This window comes from Homo sapiens, chromosome 1 (assembly GCF_000001405.40).
Source record: "Homo sapiens chromosome 1, GRCh38.p14 Primary Assembly".
In the NCBI taxonomy this organism is placed as follows: Eukaryota; Metazoa; Chordata; class Mammalia; order Primates; family Hominidae; genus Homo; species Homo sapiens.
The window spans coordinates 76620840-76640407 of record NC_000001.11 but is presented as its reverse complement, the minus strand read 5'-3'; the positions used below and the strand labels follow the sequence as shown (position 1 = coordinate 76640407).

The following is a 19568-nucleotide window of genomic DNA, read 5'->3' as shown; positions in this document are numbered from 1 at the left end:
GTCTAAGTCACCCTATAGGTACATTTGAACACTACTTGTGCATATAATGCAATGACAATTTTAATATCTGAATCATTGTGTCCTTATACTTCTGCTTCTGTATTACATGTAACATTGTCTGTTTGCATCACTTTTGTGGCCATTACCTTGTTCTGAGTCATCTTGTGGTTATTTGGAAGTTTTGTTTTTTTAAAAAAATTCTTCAGTAAACTGCATAAGTATGAATACTGCATTCTACTCATCTCTGTATTCTCCAAAGCTTTAATGAAGTACCATTAATTTGATTATATTTAATGTATATTTGTTGAGATGATATTTTTGCCTAGCTATCAATAAAGACCAGGACTAATTCCTTAGATATATACAAATCATATTATCAACCTTTCATTCTAGTTACGTTGCCAGGAACACAATTAAGCTCATGAACTATCCAATTCTCAGTAATGAGAAGACAGGTTTGACAGTGTGGGATGATTAAAATGCTTAATGTTCAATTAGCCTTCTTGGATTAAGTCTAGTAAAGGAAAAGGTAGGTAATTTAAAGTTGTATTATGGAGAATATTATTTTACAAAAATCTTAAGAGGGCAATTTGAAAAAGACATTGATTGCTCTAAACTTAAAATATCCAAGGCATCATTTTGAAACTACAAAGACCAGATAAAAGGGTTATAAATATACTGAAAGGGAATGGTACAGACAAGAAAACTGAAAAATGCAACAAAACTCGATATGAAGAATTTATTTAATCTAGCAGAAATAGGAAAAGGTGGACAATATAAATGACTCCTAAATCTACAGTGACAACCATTATCATAAATTACCAACATGAGAAATGCTATAATACTAAATGTAATTTTCTTGAGTCATTACATTTCAAATACATATCACATAGAAAGTATATAAAAATATGGATGTATAAAATGTGAATGAATTTTTCGCACTGAGAAGCAAAGGAACTTACACCTTTTTGTGAGGTATTATGAGAATGAAATCATGATTGGCAGTAGTAGAGCTGGGGGCTGGTGCGGGGAGGTTGTCAAGGAGAGAAGGAGTGTATGTGTGTGTGTGTGTATATACCTACTGTTAATTGAATGCACTTCCAGAACTTGGGAACCAGTTCTGAATATGAACTAGGTGAAATCTGCCATCATCAGAAATAACCTTTTTAAGAGATGGCTTCTGAATATGTTGCTGCCAAGACAAGGGTAAACATTTTAGTGTATTTTTTTCAGAGCTTCAGTGTGAAACCTGGCCTTTGTGCATAAAAGTTGCATCCTATTTCATAGAACGTGTACTTTGAAAGGGACCTAATTGGTCATTGAGTTCAACTAGATACATAAACACATGAATTAGTGAAAAGTGGGGTGATCTATCTGCAAATAACACAATTTCATTCATCCTAAAAATCCACACTCTAATTTTAGACTCTTCTAAATGCTCTCCTGAGATAAAATCTGAAATCTTATTCATTGGCTCTATTATGTCGAATAGAATCATAGAGTTTAAAACTAATTTTGCACCTGCATTAATGCCTTTTAAGTATTTGAATTTTGTTCTCTCTAAAACATTCTATTAATCTGGCTAAGTGTTTCCAACTCCTGGTGTGATATAATTTCTAGTTTCCACATGATCCTGGTTGCTCTCAACCTGTTTCCTCTTTTTTGAAAGAATTCTCAATTGTCTGTTTCTTTATATTGTGGTGACTTCTGCTGCAATAGAAAAATGGGCAAAGTATAGGAAGAGCTTATTCGTGTAAGAAGAGATGTTAGTTTCCTATAAATATGCAAAATTTTAAATTTCCATAGTAATCAATTAAATGCTAACTAAAAGAAGATAACCTTGTTTTTCATACATGAAGTCGGCAAGGTTGAAGAACCCCATCATTTTTGGCAAGGGTTCAGGGAAGCAGGCACTACTGTATGCTGATGCAATAAAAGAAAAAAATAATCAGAGAAATGTTCAAAAATTCATTAACAAAACTGTTTAGCATATAAGAAAAGTGACTGGGAGAAATCGTTAAATAGCTTAGGGCACAATGTAGCTACTGAATATTAGGATAATTTAATGACTTTGAGAAAATGCTTGTAATTCCTTATTAAGAAGACACAGCAGGCTATAAAACAACATTATATATGTATTTTTATCAATAATATCTATAGAAAAACACCGAATGAACCCTGGGAAGTGCAATAATAGGTATCATACCTTTCCATCTTCAATGTTTCTGACAATGAAAATATATTATCTGTCCAATCAGACATTGAATAAAAACAAGTTTTGCTGGGCGCGGTGGCTCACGCCTGTAATCCCAACACTTTGGGAGGGTGAGGTGGATGGATCACTTGAGGACAAGAGTTCAAGAGCAGTCTGGCCAACATGGCAAAACCCCATCTCTACAAAAAATACAAAACTTAGCCGGGCATGGTGGGGTACACTTGTAATTCCAGCTAGACGGGAGGCTGAGGCAGGAGAATCACTTGAACCCAGGAGGCAGAGGTTGCAGTGAGCTGAGATTGTGCCACTGCACTCCAGCCTGGGCCACAGAATGAGACTTCATCTCAAAAACAAAAACAAAAACAAAAAACAAGGTTTAAAAACACTTCCAGAAGTTTTCTGATCAGTCCTGAACCTTGCTGTTTTGTTCTTAGACTCTTTGTGTATGTATCAGGGTCATAGTGACCTTTTCATTGCTATATCTTCTATTACAGTGTCCTATAACCTCCAAATATTTTCCGTGACTACTGTTATTAAGTCATGCTCCTGTATTTTCTGAAGCTAAAAGCCTTTTTGTTTGGCTTTACATTAGTTCCTATCAAATTTCATTTCGTTTTATTGAGTCCATATGTTGTGCTGTTGAAAGTTTGAATTTTTTTCTGTTGTTCCTTATTGAACGGCCAGGCACAGTTCTGCGTATTTCACTGATACATTTGCCTGATATTGTTGTCCTCATCCAACATGAATGCCGTTTTATCCATCAAAGATTGTGGAGTATTTCCCCCCACCCCCTTTTTTATTTTTATTTTTTTTACTAGGAAGGAAACTCATCATAACCAGCATCACCAAAAGATGTGTTGTCCAAACCATTTTAATTTGCAGGAAAACATGACTGACTAAGGAAGACCATTCCAAGTAAATCTGATTGTATATGTTGTACTTCTAGAGAAATTTAGACATTTGTAGGAAAATTATTTTGAAAGATTATATAGATATTTAAGCAATTTTATAATCACGGAAAATGGCATATTTGAAAAGTGTTATCAAATATAGAGCAAGAACTCTCAACAATGCATGGTGTAAGGTGGCTGGTGTACACTGTATGATCGTATTAGTCAACACTTTTGCCCATGGACTTATGGATAGTGAGAGCCACCACTCTGATTAAACTAAACAATTTATCCCTGTAAAGAACCACAGAATATTCTTATCATCAATTACAACTCTTAGAAAGAGATTCAAACCTATGTCATTTACCAACTAGACACTAAAGTTTCTTGTCCTTAAAAGAAATTTCACATTATTCTGAAAGAAGGTAAACATTGGCAGATTCTCTTCTCTAATTATATTGCTTTTAGAGTCCCAGCTAATCTTTCTCAATGGACAAACTAAGAAAATTTATATGCTAACATGCGAAGTACTTTCTCCAAGATAGCAAATAGTTTCGTATTAGGTGAAAAAAAAACTTCTAGGATGCAAAATTCTATTAGTGTTAAGGGAAAAGGATTCCTAGATAGCTTAAAGAAAATGAAGTCAAAGAGTAGAAAGTCTCGGGAAGTAAAGAAGAGTGAGGGAGAGAATGCATATAAGGTCCTCTCTTTATAGAAATATGCCCTGTGATGTTGTGGTGTGTCTAGTCTTTTTAAGGCATATTAGTACTTTTATTAAGTTCATATGCCAATGTTAAATAAAAAAGATGGATGAGAGAAATTCCTAAATTTAAGATTCAAGAAATAGCAATTATATTTTATGCAGTAAAAATATCACAGTACTGCATAGACCTGAATACCAAAGGAGAGCTGAAAAAAAAGGCTAATCTCTGTGACATCTTGAAAGGGAAATAGGCACAAAAACAAGCGGTTGATCAGAGGTGAGGGCACATCTATCCTACTTTAACCACAGATCATTAAGACATTAAAAGTCACGTTACTTCTATTGTGGGTAGAGTTCAGTCACTTAGAAGTGTTTCTTGTGTGCCAGTTTCTCTCTTGCTTCCTTGGGCAAAAGAAACCATATTCTCTCTTGGTATAATATGACCTAGAGCAATATATTGTTCCTTAGTTTATTCTGGTTCTGATGTGGGTACTGATATCCATACACAAAAATTTTTTTCTGAAAGTTTCTAGTGCTTGAACAAGGATTATCAAAACAAACAACTCACCCATAGAGTTGCACAAAACTCAGTGTTTTCTTTTTCAGCTATTATGTCATCATGACTAAGAATATCAGGGCAGAAAGAGCTACATGTTCATCAAATTCTTTTCCTACACATTTAGACAGCATTGCCCATACCAAGGCACGCGAGTGAGGCTGGCCAATAGAATGTGGGTGGAGTGATATACATCACTTCCAGGCTTGCCCATAAAACCTTCCAGCACAAGATCCTTTTTGCTCTTTCCCTTTTAGCAGGCCGAATAGAGAGGACTCAAAGGACCTCAAGGAGGGCAAAGCCACATGATGGAAGGTGTCTTTGTATCTGAGTCACCCTTGGAAACAAGCTGGTTGGAGAGGAGCATCTATGTAGAATTTATGTTTGAGGGAGAAACAAATCTTATTCTCTTAAGCTACTGAAATTTGGGGGGTTATTGGTTACATTTATTAGCCTTCCCCAGATAGGTATGGACTCTGGGCCAAACTGCCTTGGTTCCAATCTCATTTCGTCAAAAGCTGTGTGACCATGGGTAAGCTATTTAATCTCTCTAGTGCTTCAATTTCCTTATATATGAGATGGTGATAGTAACATTATGTACCTCATAAAGTATTGGGGGAACTGAATGAGATACACAGCCCTTTAATAAGCCTGGCATATAAGTAGAAGTTATTATTTCCAAAGATGACTCTCATTTTGAGATCATTTCCAAATATGGATCTCTTATAGAGTTGGATAGATAACTATAAGCTGATTTGTTAAAAGAAAAATTATCCAAATTTGACATTCAACTGCAAGAGTGTTGAGATTTGCAGAAAGAAAATAAGAGGAGAGAGGAAAGTAAGGAATAAGGAAGGAAGGGAGGAAAGAAGGAAGACTTCTTTGTTCTATGCAGCTTATGTGCTAACCCAACTTTGTTAATATGTCTGACACAGCAAAAAAAGAAATATATGTCAGCATCAGATAGTTAATATGGACAAAACAAATTCCAGAGGCAGACCAACATTTTCTCTTGTTATTGTTTATAGTAGTATTCTGGATATGTTTCCGACTTGGATATCAAGTATATTAAAAATCCCCACTTTGGGAGGCCGAGGCGGGCGGATCACGAGGTCAGGAGATCGAGACCATCCCGGCTAAAACGGTGAAACCCCGTCTCTACTAAAAATACAAAAAATTAGCCGGGCGTAGTGGCGGGCGCCTGTAGTCCCAGCTACTTGGGAGGCTGAGGCAGGAGAATGGCGTGAACCCGGGAGGCGGAGCTTGCAGTGAGCCGAGATCCCGCCACTGCACTCCAGCCTGGGCGACAGAGCGAGACTCCGTCTCAAAAAAAAAAAAAAAAAAAAAAAAAAAAAAAATCCCATACCGCCTTTTCCCTCTGGCTTTATTAACATATCCTTACTTGTCCTGTTGTAAAACAAACTGAAATATGCCAATAGCTCTTTGCCATTTTGTAAGCTTTATTCTAAGACACAATGCTTATAAATAAAGCACTATAATGCCATAAAAACTCTCAACAAACGTACAACTGTGCATTTACACTTTCTTCTAAAAATAGATGAAGATTATGGGTTTTAAAATGAATGAGAAACTACAGAAAAAAAATCATGGGAACTCAGGAAAATAAGTGAAGCAAAAAATGTACCATATGTAACAGAAATGGGTATTTACTCAGTAACAGTGACAACAAAGCTAAACACAAGGAAATTAGTACTTTGTAGATTAGGTAACAAAAAGCTATAAAATTGCCTCGTTTTGATCTTTTTGAAGTTTCTTAGAAATAGCTCTCACTTCATAGGCAAATATGTGAACTTGGTAGTTGACTGTTTATTCATCAAGATGTTCTTCACCTTTATGGAAGGAAGTGAGCTTCTATTTTTCTGAAGTCTTCAAGGCGTGAACAAAAAGAGATGTATCTGTGGAGAAAGAAGAGGTTTTCTACTCAAAAAAAAGTGCCTATTCTGAAAAGAAACAAACAAGTAGTTAACTGAAAAAAAAAAAGAAAAAAACTAAATGAGATTTTCTGCACTGTTACAACGCCCAAGGACAGTTCTGATTCGATGCCTTAGCAATTTACATGGAATTTTACTCTGGTGTTTTCTCTACAGTTCAGCAAAAACAAGCAACAGAACAATATACTATTTCTGAGCCACAAGAACCATTTTCAGAGGCCAGTGTATGTAGTTTCAAAATTCTTCACTTCTAACAGTATCATATAAATGGACTGTAGAGAAAAAAAAATCCTTTTAAATCTTTTATGCAGACTAAGTCTTGCGGGACATGTGGGGCTTTCATTCACCTTCTAGAAGGGTATCTGGGCTCAAAGGTCACATGGAGTGCAGGGATGAGCATGAACCCAAAGGGTGGTGTTAGTGCTGATGGATAATTTCACTAACTTGGGCAGCACAGTTGGTTTGAGTATGAGGACATTTTAGCTCTGGGGAAATGTCAACAACAGGGCCTGCCAGTTTCACCAGGCAACCTCCAACACTCAGCAGCTCTTGGTGTATCAATGGCTTGCTCATCCTCAATCACAAAGAGAAACTAAGAAACTGACCTTTAAGTTCTTTAAACAAGTCCTAGAATTTTGTGATAACAGAACATAGCCTAGCCTTACCAATAGCAACAAACAGAGAGAAGAAAGTGTAGACAATCAATGGGATATGTTCCTTCAATTATGAAAATATTTCTCCACTTCAGCGTGGGGATTTGTTTCATCCTGAGCAGAATTAGCACAATTTGGAGCCCTTGGATTCCATGAATAGACTCTTTAGTAAATCAGTTAGGCATTCTTTTTCCAGCTACTCTTCTGTCTAAAAAGTGTAGTGGAAAAAGCACTAGAGAAGAAAACATGAGACAAGAATTTGAGTCTCAGTACTGCCATTAGTCCAGTTTATAACTACAGGCAAGTCACTTCACCTCTGTCTGTTTCCTCAGCTCCAAGGTGTAGGAGTTGAATTGGCTGGTCTTTAAAATCTCTTTCAGCTCTAAAAGCCTGACCTACTTAAAAAGGCTAGCACTGGCTCCTTCAGTCACTAATCTATGTACACTACTGAAATGATGAGGTCTTGTCTTTTAAATATGCTGTTTTAAGAAAAAAGCATTTTTTCTCTCTTGGCCCTCAGACTGTAAATCCTTTGTTGTGCTAAGACATGCAAACAACTGATACTGAATAACATAATTTATTATTTGCATTTGACATGTCACATTAAAGGCTAGATGGGCACATTGTTGTTGTTTTTTTTTAAATCAGTCATCTGATTATATTTTCTTGCTTATTGAAATTAAACCGAGCTCATAATTAACATCCAATTAACACTACCAGGTGAAGTACTTTAGTGTTGTCTCTTCTCTAAGTAACAGTGATTTTCTTCTGATGGCCTTCTACTTCTTGGAAGGTCAGCAGGTCCCCAATTCAGACTCTTGTTCCTACCTCAGCTGATTCATACCAAATCCTCCAAGAGCAATCTCCTTGTATAATTTTCCTTTTTCACAGTGGTCACAGTTCTGTAGCTATATAATAAAAATCATGCAAATCTGGATTTTGCTTATGCTAAAGACTGGCTTATTTGAATAGGAGGACCAATGTTCATTTACTTCAGTGTGAATGAAGCTTGATGCAATGTTTTTCAATGTGACTTTAGCTAAGCCTGCAATCGGCAGAACCTACAATACAGATTGCTATACTTACAAGTCTGATTTGTGACAACTGTGGCATCTGATTGTGTTTTCTAGATTTAGCAGCTTCTCTAGCTTTATTCTTCTGGCCAGCTTTTGAATATGATTTTACGTACTCTTAGCAATCAGTCCATTTAATTTGGATTTTTGCTTTTTTCATCAGGATTCAAAATGTAACCCAACGAATTTCAGATGAAGTCTAAAATAGGGCTTTCTGTGATTCACATGCACCAGTGAAGAATATAGGATTATATATATGCTTTTATATATAGTTATAAGTATATAGATGTATATATATGTGCGTTCACACACACACAAATAGACTCTATGTGCATATATACAAACATTCCTCCAAATTCCAATTGCCTTTTCTTTGATAGGTTTGATAGCAATGTAAAATCATATACTCTAAAAGGTTTCTTATTCACATTATCATCATAACAATGTAAATCATTGCTACTTCTCACTTGGTTAAATTGGAAAAGATTCAAACACACATTTTAAAACTCTTTTTAAATTACCTTGCTTTTTCATAGAATTATGCATAACAGAAAATAATGTTTAGTCTATTATTTTTATCTTGAATGTTTTCATGCCAATTTCAGAAAAATTGTGACCCTTTTTTATAGTTCATTTTCCAAGAAGCACGGATAGTATTGAAATATTTTTATTTTTCACAGATATTAATTAATTTCTGGGATAAATACACATCAGTGATAAGTAAGTTCAGTTAAATTTTTCAATGTTTAAATGTTGGATAGAATATCTTTCATTTGACCAGAATCTGTGGGAATTGATCAGAAATGTGCATGGCAAAATAGTTTCCTTGAATTGCTCCCTTACCAAGCTCTTCTCTATCAGCAAATCATAGATGAAAAATTTATTCTCAACATGGGAGAAATTAGACTTTGCATTTTCACTAGAATTAGAAAGATGGAACAAAGAAAAACAGGAAATAAAAGCAGAGAAAAATAAGTTGTGAGATTCTATCAAAATGCTGATTATACTGGAAATTATTCAATTGAGTCTCCAAATTGAGAAAAACTTGTTTTTTTTTTTTTTTGTTTCCTGTTTGTAGAAAGAAAAAGACAAAGAAAACAACAATAAAAAGTGTAGAGTAGCAGTTTAGTTGCAAAAAGAAAGGAAAGAAAGAGGAGACGAGAGGAGAGGAGAGGAAAGAAAGCCCTTTCCCACCCCTCCTAAGAAAACACTGGAGTCTACATATTCCACACACACCTTCTGCTATAGAGTGAGGGATACAATATACTGCAGAAGTCTTCATCAGAGAAAGCTACAACGAGGCAGGAGAGCAAGCAAGTTTTCAAATGTTTCTCATCAGTAGGGGCTAGAACAAATAAGAGTTGGCCCTTCATTTATTAGAAAACTAAATAAATTAAGTTCATGTCCCAAGCCATTCTGATTAATCAAGGATTTCTTTTTATTTTAAAGTGAAACAACAGGGGGAAAAACAGTCTGTATGGCAATTTTAACATTTGTCTCTGTTTATTTTTCTTTGAGTGGGCATTTCTATCTATCATTAGCTCAAAAAAACTTAACATTCATAGAATTAAAAATTGCATAAGGGAACAACAAAAGAATAACAACTCCTTCCAACGATAGAACTGGGGCTTAGTAATGTTTATGGGTGTGAATATTGAGGTGTCAAAATTGCAGAAGAGAGTAGGCAAAAGGCCTTTATCCAAGATGGCACACTTTAATGATAGCTCACCATAATACTTAGCACTAGTAAAGACCTACAAGTGCTTCTGAAGTGAAATGTATCATTACTTCCAGTTTCCAAAACATTCTATAAGTTGAGCCTGGCTTTTGTCTTTTGAATCATTCTGCAAGGATGTTTTTGAATTCTCAGCTACTCTTGCAGCAAATCAACCCTTTACTATTTAATGAGCAACGAGTATATGAAAAATAGAATTGTCTCAATCCTAGGAAAGGAAACTATATTTCTCTGCCTTCATTTCCTCCTGTTGTCCCTGCTTTTTCATTTTTTCCCCACCTAAATAGAACCACACGTGTATATATACGTATATAGAAAAACTTCTCAAAACTACTTATTTTCACAGGGGCCCTAGCATATGGCCAAGACCATCCTTTGTGATACTTTTTGTGTAATCCTGATATAATGTATTTGGCACAGAGATCAACTGGTTACTAGTTTACATAAATTCTATTCTATACAAATATTAGCAAGTAGAGCAATCTGGAATATAACAGAACAATGACCAAATTACAGATCATCTGCTAAAGAGAGCAGAATACACAGACAATAGCCCAATGGGGTGTTCAAGGGCATCACATGGTATAACAGATGTTAAAGGACTCTAAATGACAAAGCACTTTGGACATTAAGAACATTATTATTGTTGTTATTGTGGCATAACAACTGATACACTATGGGAAAAATAAATCCCTAGAAGGCAAAAAGCTCTGGTCAGGTTTAATATAAGGAATCATTTCCTCTCCATGTGTAACAGCTGGCACTTGGCAATGAGAATGTAATGTTTGGAGAAACACACCTTGGGCCTATAAAATAGAAATTTGAATATACAAATATATATTATGAAGTATGATAGGATACAAATTGATGTAAAAATATGCTTTGCTGTCTCTATTTCATGATTTTAAAAATCATATAGTTTTGTGTTGTTGGATGTTGAAGCAGAGTTAGCAAACCCTTTGGTTACTTTTTAGGAATGTTTTCACAGTATATGTTATTACAGTGTTGAAGTTGGTATCTTACATGTTAAGTAGCCTTCTGAAATATTTAGCACTCAACCAAAAATAACTAAACATTAATATAGATCATTCTAATCACATGTTCAGTTATACTGTTGGTAGTAAGAATGGATGGTAAGAGTGGAAATTCATCAAGATTTGCTACTTGGCCCATTTTGATTTATGTGTTTGAGATAGTCAAGTAATCCTGAAGTGTAGGATGTCCATGAAATCTTCATTGTTAATTAGGCAATGGCCTGAGGCTTTAGCTGTAGGAAATACTGTAGAAAGATGGTATATTAGGAAGAGATATTTTCCCATCCTTAGGCTAAGTAGTAAGATACTTGCACCCTGATAGCAGTTCTTGGGTCAGTGTTTGACAATCAATCATTCTTCAAGATGGCGGAACTGCTGAGATTCAACAAGCCATTGAGTCAATCACCTTGCCTCATGAAGCCAAACTCTTTTGGCTTCTGGAAGTTACTCACTGTTGAACAATTCTAGGCAGCTATCTTGAAAGATAATCTTCCCATTTCTTAGGTCACAGTTGTCATGTCACTGGCCTTCATCTCAATTCCAGTTAAATTATAAAGTGCGGTACGTAGTGTTGAACCTCCAGAAAGAACATCATGAGCACAACCATCCTCCATGAAATGCCAAGTTTAAATTACTAGCAGAGTCACCATCCACATCTGAGAGTGTACAGGAACTTGATAATCATTGTTGTTGTCTTTATCATTACCATCATCTCCATTAGCATCATCAGCATCACAGTTGCAGTATGGGGATCACATTAAGTGATGCGGCAAGATCAGGAAAACCATTATCAAGACAATGTCCAGTTTGGATGTGTAAATATTATCCTGTGCTTCTTGGCCCATTTAGCAAACACTTTCTTTTCAGTGATAAACCTATGACCCCCATATGGGGCATGTTCATGAAGAAAATATTCATCACACTCATCTCTTCCTTGTTCATAATAATGGTAGGGGACTTTTCTATACCCTTCTGTCCTAGAAAAGAAAAAAAAAGAAAAGGAGAGAAAGATTGAGATGAAGAATGAAGCACTCATTTACAAGAATCCATTATGTGCCCAGTAAATGCATTTACTCACAAACCCATACATGATTCTTGTCCATGAACTCAGTTAAAAGCTATTATATGTATGAAAGCTTTTAGGAAGATGTACCAAGTTTTTAGTGGTTTAATAGATCAAATAAAATTTATATATCATGCCAATTACATTCAAACATATGGCTATCTTTTGAAAAGGAAATGGTGTATAATTGAAGAAACTTTAGATAGCCTCTTGCAGAACTTGAAGAAACTGTGATTTTTCACAGTAAGATATTGGCTCATCTGAGCTCCATTATGCTTATAGTTAGGGAAGAAATATTTGTTCATGAAGACTGTGGCTGAGAGTTACCATTTTGACATTATGATTAAAACAGTCTGTGAATTATATTGTGCCAATTGTTGGTAGGGAAATAGATTCCATTATCCTGATGAAGCATGGAGGGTTTGTTTCATTATCTAATTAGAAACTATCCCACCAGCAAGGATATACTGTGGGTAAACACACTCATTTTAAATAAGGATCTGGCAGATTACTCACTTACTAGTGAAGTATAATTTCCAGGAATTCTTGTTAAGCTGTCAGTTTCTCTGAGGCTGCAGGACATTTTGTCCTTCATGATCAAATCTAACTAACCATTGAGTAGATAGCTATCCATCAAGCCATCAGAGCAGCAGAAATGACAAACTTGCTTTTGCAAATTACACAACCACTAAACTTCTTCTGTATTTTCAAGCCAAAAGTCCCTGCTATGCCACTGATTAAGGGAAAAGTGTTCCTCCTGACATTTGACATTAGACTGGTAAATATTTTTCTTTTTCTCACCCCTAGAAGTCACAACTTGACGCACTGACAATAAAATGTCATGTCAGCAAAGAACACTGGGAAATAATTGTTGCTTTATCTGTTTCTCAGATTTATGGTATTAAAATGAATTGTGATATTTTGACAAGATCTCCGAATTGGAGCTGCATAAAAATAATTTCTTGTGATCTTACTTGCAGTAGGTGTCATTTATCATCCCGTAGACGTGAATGCCATAACAGGCGTCCATGGCCAGAAGGAAGGTAAACCACCCTGTGCTGAGATATGAGCCAGACTGGACTCTGAGGGAAATGAAAACAAACAATAACAAACAGAACAAAACACAGAACACACACACAGAACAATAAGGTGTGTGAGAAACGAGCAACATTTCATCAAAAACATAGCACTTGTTATCAGGAAAAAGAGTTGAGAAACTTGACAATATGTCAAAGATGCACACTTGTTTTGAATTATCTCTGAATAATTTATAGGAATGCTCTTGCTCTTACTACCTTAAGCCTCAAAGCTATGTTGTGTGGAAGAGAAGCCATATAGCAAATATCTGAAGTCAAATAATCTTATCCCTTCAGGTGAAAAATAATTTATTTAATTTTCCATAAGACACAAATTAGTCCTGTCTATCAGAGGAAAGATTCTCTTAAAGTTGCTTGGAGCCCAGATGGGAACTGAATGATAATAGTGCTATCTTGCTTAACTGGACATATTACTACTTTCTTGAAGGCTGCTTGGGTTTCTAAGTGTAACTTACATGCAGTGTATGTGAATAACTTGAAATGAAAGCATCTGAAAAGATTTCTTAACTGCTTTCCAGGCATTATAAGACAAGACTTTTCCTTTTTAAGACCTATGTTACCAACTTCTTCATTGTATTTCCATTGAACAAGCTACATGGTAATCACTGTTATGGAGGCTGGGGATACAACAACGATCAAAACAACCAAACCTTCTGTCTTTGTGAAGGCCAGTGGGTTGGATTTGGAGGTAGCTATATTATAAAGTTTGGCTAGGAAAGCCTTCTTTGATCATGGGAACAAAGATCTGAAAAAGACAGAGGGGAGGGTCAAGGAGGAAGAAGCCACTTGGACCACATGAGGAAAAGGTATTTCAGGAAGAGGGAAGGGCAAGGACAAAATCACAAATATGGAAGTATGGTTGGTATGTTCAAAGAAGAGCTGGGAAATGCAGGAACTGAAGGGGAAGGTGGTGATGTACTTGGATGAAGTGCTGATTGGGCATCTGCCAAGTTCCAAATGGTTCAAAGGAATGTTAAATGAAAAGCTGGATCTCCATATTTGTCTTTAGCCAGTGTGACTCAATCCATTCAAAAGAGATGACTGTCCATCTCCTTAAAACTCTCCACGGGGGCATTTGGAGCACCCCAATTTGTTTGATAGCTGTGTAGCAACACCTCTGAAAAAGATTAAATGGTCTATCTTCCATATAGACTTCTTGGCCTACAGGAGCACAGCCAGTTCAAACTGACACTTAGATACTGATAACCGCTCTCTGGATACAGCCCTCCAGCCAGTACTTGCTCCCTACTGATGCTCAATATTGTTGATGCACATCCCAGTACCAAGCCATCAGTGTGCTATAATTAGGAGCCTTGAATCCTTTGCTGCTGCTGCTGCTGCTTCTTTTTAACAGGCACTACTTAGTGTCAAATTACTTACAATGTGCCAGCATTTCAGGAAAAACACAAACTCACAGTGGGGGTTGATAATTGGATTTTTTAGCCTTTACTTGCATTGACTTTGGGTGATTTACAAGGATACACAGACTCAGCCCATATACATCCTCTCTGCATACTTGTCACTGAGTCTGAAATGTTACTACCTAAGTAGCCATTCCTTCGCATCTTCTGGTGTATGGAAAATATCCCAGAAACTAGATCACAGTGAGTTACATGCACTTTCCTCTGTGACAGTAGCAGCAACATGGGGCAGCAATAGATGCAAAATGAATGGGAAGACGTATCTCAGGGAAGTGAGCTACAGTAACGAACAACTTTGCCTTTTAGACAACTTAACCTGCAGTCAATCCTGCATTCTGGGGTTTGAGGAGGAGCAGCAATGATGGGAATTGCTTAAAGCACCATCTGCTTAAAAAGCCCTTATTTGAAAATGAGAAGAGATCAGAAGAGGCAAGAGTCTTGACAAAATGCTCCCAAATTGAATCTAAATATTTTGTCTATGTACTGAATTTGTCTGGTTATTATTCCTATGGAATTGTATATTCTTTTTTTTTCTCTTCTTTCTCATACTATTTTTTTCTACCTTTCACTCCCTATCTTGTCTATTCTTCATTATCAGGCTGACCAAGCACTCATAGAGATCACTAAAAGTTACGGCATTTGTTTGTTTCTATATGATGAGGAAAAAATCAGGTCTCATGTATTTACTCATTTATTCACTTTTTCAACCAACATTTATTGGGATCCTATTATGTGCCACTGACTGTGCTAGGAAGCTGGTGATGAATATTTTCTTAAGAGTACATGGTCTAGTGAGGGAGGCACACATGTTAAAACAATTGATCACAATACAGTGCAACAAAGCACAGCCATGTGTTTCAGAGTCAACACAGAGTGCAGTTAGAATTGGAGTGAGGATATCTGGTTTCATATTGCAGCTCTGCTGCTACTCGAACATGAGGCTTTGGCCACTTATTTAGCCTCTCTGGGTCTTATTTTCCTTGTGTCTAAAATGAGATGGTTGAACTATGATTCTGTGATCATCACCCTCAACAGTCTGTAATTAAGTTTTAACCACTGTGCGGTACCATGCTCTATGCATATTGGATGTTGTAATGAGCAAACATGTGAATACGTCAGATCACATTTCATGCTCCCTTGTGTGATGGGCATGACACTAAATGTATGGGGTATATATAAAAATATAAGCTGGGTATAAAGTTTTTACCTTGCAATGGTAGTGACAATAGTCACAAAACTTTTGTGGGGAGAACTCCATGATTCCCTCCTTTACACTGCCACTCATGGAAGGTGTTGCAATGGCTGACGAAGGCCAAGGCCATAACTGAACCATAGTGCTAAGGGTAAAGGTGAATTTGAGTGAGAAAAAAAAATCATAATTAGGAAAAATCATCCTCCCTTTGATGTGGTCCCTTCACAGAGGTGCTAATTATCAAAGACAAAGATAATATGATATCCCCAGGAAAAAGAGGAAGATCCTCTTTGTGACATATGGACACTTATTCTGTGAAACAAGCAAGCTCTCCTGACTCATTCTGGTCTAGCCCACACAGTCGTTTCTGAAGGTTCAACAGTAAGCTTCCAGAACACAGCCCTCAAAGAATAAAGAAGATACAATGGTCATTAGTGGCTTCTCTATATATCTATGTTCTCTTTAGCACAGGAAAAGAAGATCAAGAATTTCAGGGTTTGGCATCTGGTCAAGGATCTTGCCATCTTACCACCTAATAAGGAAACTTTACCACATTTCTGATACTTGATTCCTTTAGGACCTAACCTGATTTGTTTTATTTCTGTGTAGACATGCCATGCTAATTAGCTCAATAGCTCTTTAAACAAGATGTGTTGCATTTGATTCAGATGGGGGAGGCTCATACTGCCCAAGTGCCCTGTCCTACAAACAGCACTTAATTGACAGTTGCAGTTCCTTTCCCTGATGCCTCTGATATATTTGGGATGTTAAATGGCAGGGGGTTTCCTACCCACAGTACAAGCTAGGGCTAGCAAAGTAGTTCTTTTCTCTAACTATTTGGAGCTAATGTCCATACAATGATGCTTGCAGTGGAATAATGACAACTTCTGGATGAATCCAGGAATTCTTCCAAATAAATGCCTAGTAATCTGGGTCCCTAGAGGAACTCACTGGCCTGATAGCACTGGCTCCAGAATGTCTTGTAGCCGTACCATTTCCAAACTCTACCGAGTTGCTGTGTGAGCATACTGGAAATGAGAAATTATAAATTACACACAACTAGACCTTTAAGTTTCAATGAAAACTACAACAAAAAGACTTTACCTGATGTATGTGAAATTGTTTATGATTTCCAGCTTGGAAAGACTTAGTGATAACTATCAAATGCCTTAAAGTGATAACTATCAAATGCCTTAAAAATTCTTAAAGGATATCCTCTGGGGCCAAATACTGTCTCATAATTTGTCACTCATGCACGCAGCACTAACTATGTATCAGCTGGCCATCAACCATAGCATTTTTTTTTACCTTCCACATTTGGGGATCAATAAAAACAATTATTCTCATCCACAAATAAACAATCAAGATTCCCACAGGGATGATAAGAGAATTTAAGCCCCTAATTCTGTGCAATAGGAAAGCTTAAATTAATGCAGCAGAATAATGGGCCATGCAGGGGAAAATAAAGGCAGGCGTGTGAAGAGGAAGCCATCAATCCTTTGATTTTACCGGTCAGGCTCTGCACCCTGCTGCTCCTTGGTAATCAAGATACTTACAACTTGGAAACTACTTAAATTTACTGGCATATCTCTTGGGAAAATGATGCCGTCAAGACCTTGATGTAGCACATGCTTGAAGACATATCATTTAAGATACGACCTTTCATCTAGTTTATTTCAATAAAATATAAGCTACTTTACCCTTGATGTTTACCCCTATTCCTTCATGTCGAAAGGCCATCACATGGATACAGGGATTCCTCGTCTGTTCAGCTATCATGATGTTTACCAGTCTCAGTGTTTTTGGCTGTCAGCAACCTTCATTTGCCTGTACCTCTGTTTCTGAGCACACTCTGTCCTCTTCTCATTTCTGGAAAGATATCGTGAAGCACTTTCCTCCCATTATCTGGCAAGCTGGAGCCTTCTAACTGAGTGACATTTCCCTTTCAGATAATTTCAGGGGAGGAACTGAGGAAATGGAAATGGCTACTTTTCAAAAGAGAACTGGATTATGTTGGATTTATTATCTATTCACAGGATGCTCTGCTAATTATTGAATACCAATAGCTCAATGAGTTGGGTTCTGAACTCAAGAAATTCATACTTTGATGGCAAAAAATTGTAGCACTTTCTCTAGATTAGAGTTTATCAATCTCAGCACTATTAACATTTTGGACAGGATAACTCTTTGTTGTGCAGTGGCTGTCCTGTGCAGTTCTCTTATACATTTTATCAGATTCCCCTCTGTTCCAAGCTCATCTGGGTCCTAAGAGGGCAGTGGATTTCTTGACTCCCCAGGGCCTATTCTTGCCTTAGGGTGATTGCTCTGAGGGCGTCCTTGACCCTAAACAGCCAGATTCCTATAATCTCCAGTTCCTACTCTGCTCATTCACAGTCCCCTGATTTTCTTCATCCAACCAAGCATCGTACTTCCTTCTCCCTTCTTTACAAGTCCATCTAAACCCATTATCTTACTTTTTAACCTTAGAAATCAGCAAACTCAGTAGGCCTAGACCCAAAGGGCAAGTCTTAGCCTGCAATGGGGGAATGTACAATTAGGAATGCAGAAAAAGTATCAGGTGGGACAAGGACAACGAGTTCAGAAGCCACAGTATCTATGGTTAACTCCTTTCATGAAATGGTTCCTTTGGGGGCCTTTGGCTCAAACTTTGCAGCTTCAGTTCTACTGTTTCTTTCTTGAACTGATGAAAGTCAAGCCTCAGGCACTCAAAGCTAACATTTCAAAAGCATAATAATCATTTATCAAAGCCTGAAGGGTATCAAGACCCCCCTTCCAATAATGGAGGTTTATTGGAGAGCATGGTATTGGCAGCAGCTTCTGAAATCTGTTATACTCAGGGGTAAAAAGAGAATTTAAAAGAAGAATTAATCAATATTTCATGTCTTGTTTTAACACTATTGGACCTCAGTTCTCTCATCAATATACTACACTGGCAGGATAAATAAAAACAGCAAAGTAAAGTAAGTTTTCAGATACCTTCCTACGGAGAAGAAATACCTGACAGAATACAGATTATTCAATTAAAAGCATTCTTTCCCTCATTTTTTTCAAAAGCACATGGATAATGAAAGAATACATTTAAACAAAGATTCTTGGCAAGAAAAGCAGCTGATGATTATCAGTAGCACCTTGGGATTCAATCTAATATTGTGAACCAGTCTAATGGAAGCAGAGCTCAAAGTGTGGAAACAATTTCAGCTGTCCCCAAGTCATATATTTTTGTATATCATTCAATAGTCGGGAGCTATGGAAATGCTCTGAAGTTTGCCCATTGTATTAACACTGTTTATTTGTACTATCTATCAACAGGACATGCCCAGCACATTTTCAGGCAGCAACAACTTTCTGCAAATCAGGCAGTGGAATTCTCAGTCTTGTCTTGAATCATTTGCAAATGGACATAAACTTTTCAAATAAATAAAAACATCATTCTGTGGCTGGTAATTCTTAAGAGAATGAACCAAGTGAAAGGAATCCAGGCCTGAAAAATAACAAAAAATGGAAAATGGAGAAAGCAGTAAAGCTTAGAGGAAGACTGTACTTCTATCCCAATCAGCTAATGCAAAATACCTGTGCTAATCAGTAGGCACTTGGACTGTGAATATAACAAATAGTTTTTCTGCCGGAGAATCATCAGGACCCTTTGACTGGTTATGAATGCAATGAAATTGTACAAAAGGAGAATAATAAGAAACGACTGTGTTCTTTTCAAAAACGTACATTTAAAAGTAAAATGGTACAGCTCCCAATGGTATGATTTATGGCTGCTATAGAAATAGAAGATACCACTTAGAAAAATTTCTTTGTTCATTCATCTCAGAAATTAAAAGGTTATTTTCTTCATGTCCTTAGGCTTTAACGCCTTTTTAATTGGAAATGCTGATTTTCTAGATTTCATTCACTTTCTTAACTGAACAATGGAACCCCAATAATGGCAGAAGGATGATAGCAATCTTTAGGGTC

At 36.7% G+C, this 19568-nt stretch overlaps 1 protein-coding gene across 11 annotated transcripts in view; it reads right to left on the bottom strand.

The window, feature by feature from the left end:
• Positions 1 to 3068: 3068 nt before the first annotated feature.
• The window catches only part of ST6GALNAC3 (ST6 N-acetylgalactosaminide alpha-2,6-sialyltransferase 3), a 562594-nt gene continuing 546094 nt past the window's right edge, over positions 3069 to 19568 (bottom strand). For 7 of the 11 annotated variants that reach the window (NR_146056.2, NM_001349106.2, NM_001349111.2 and 4 more), the window contains 2 exons: positions 12849 to 12956; positions 5805 to 11788 (listed from right to left, as the gene is read on the bottom strand). Coding sequence is in view for 10 of the 11 variants with exons in the window: in NM_001349106.2 (NP_001336035.1) it covers positions 11602 to 11788; positions 12849 to 12956 (295 nt within the window). In the remaining variant the exon portion in view is untranslated. The other 4 variants (NM_001349107.2, NM_001349105.2, NM_001349109.3 and 1 more) reach the window with 3 other exon arrangements.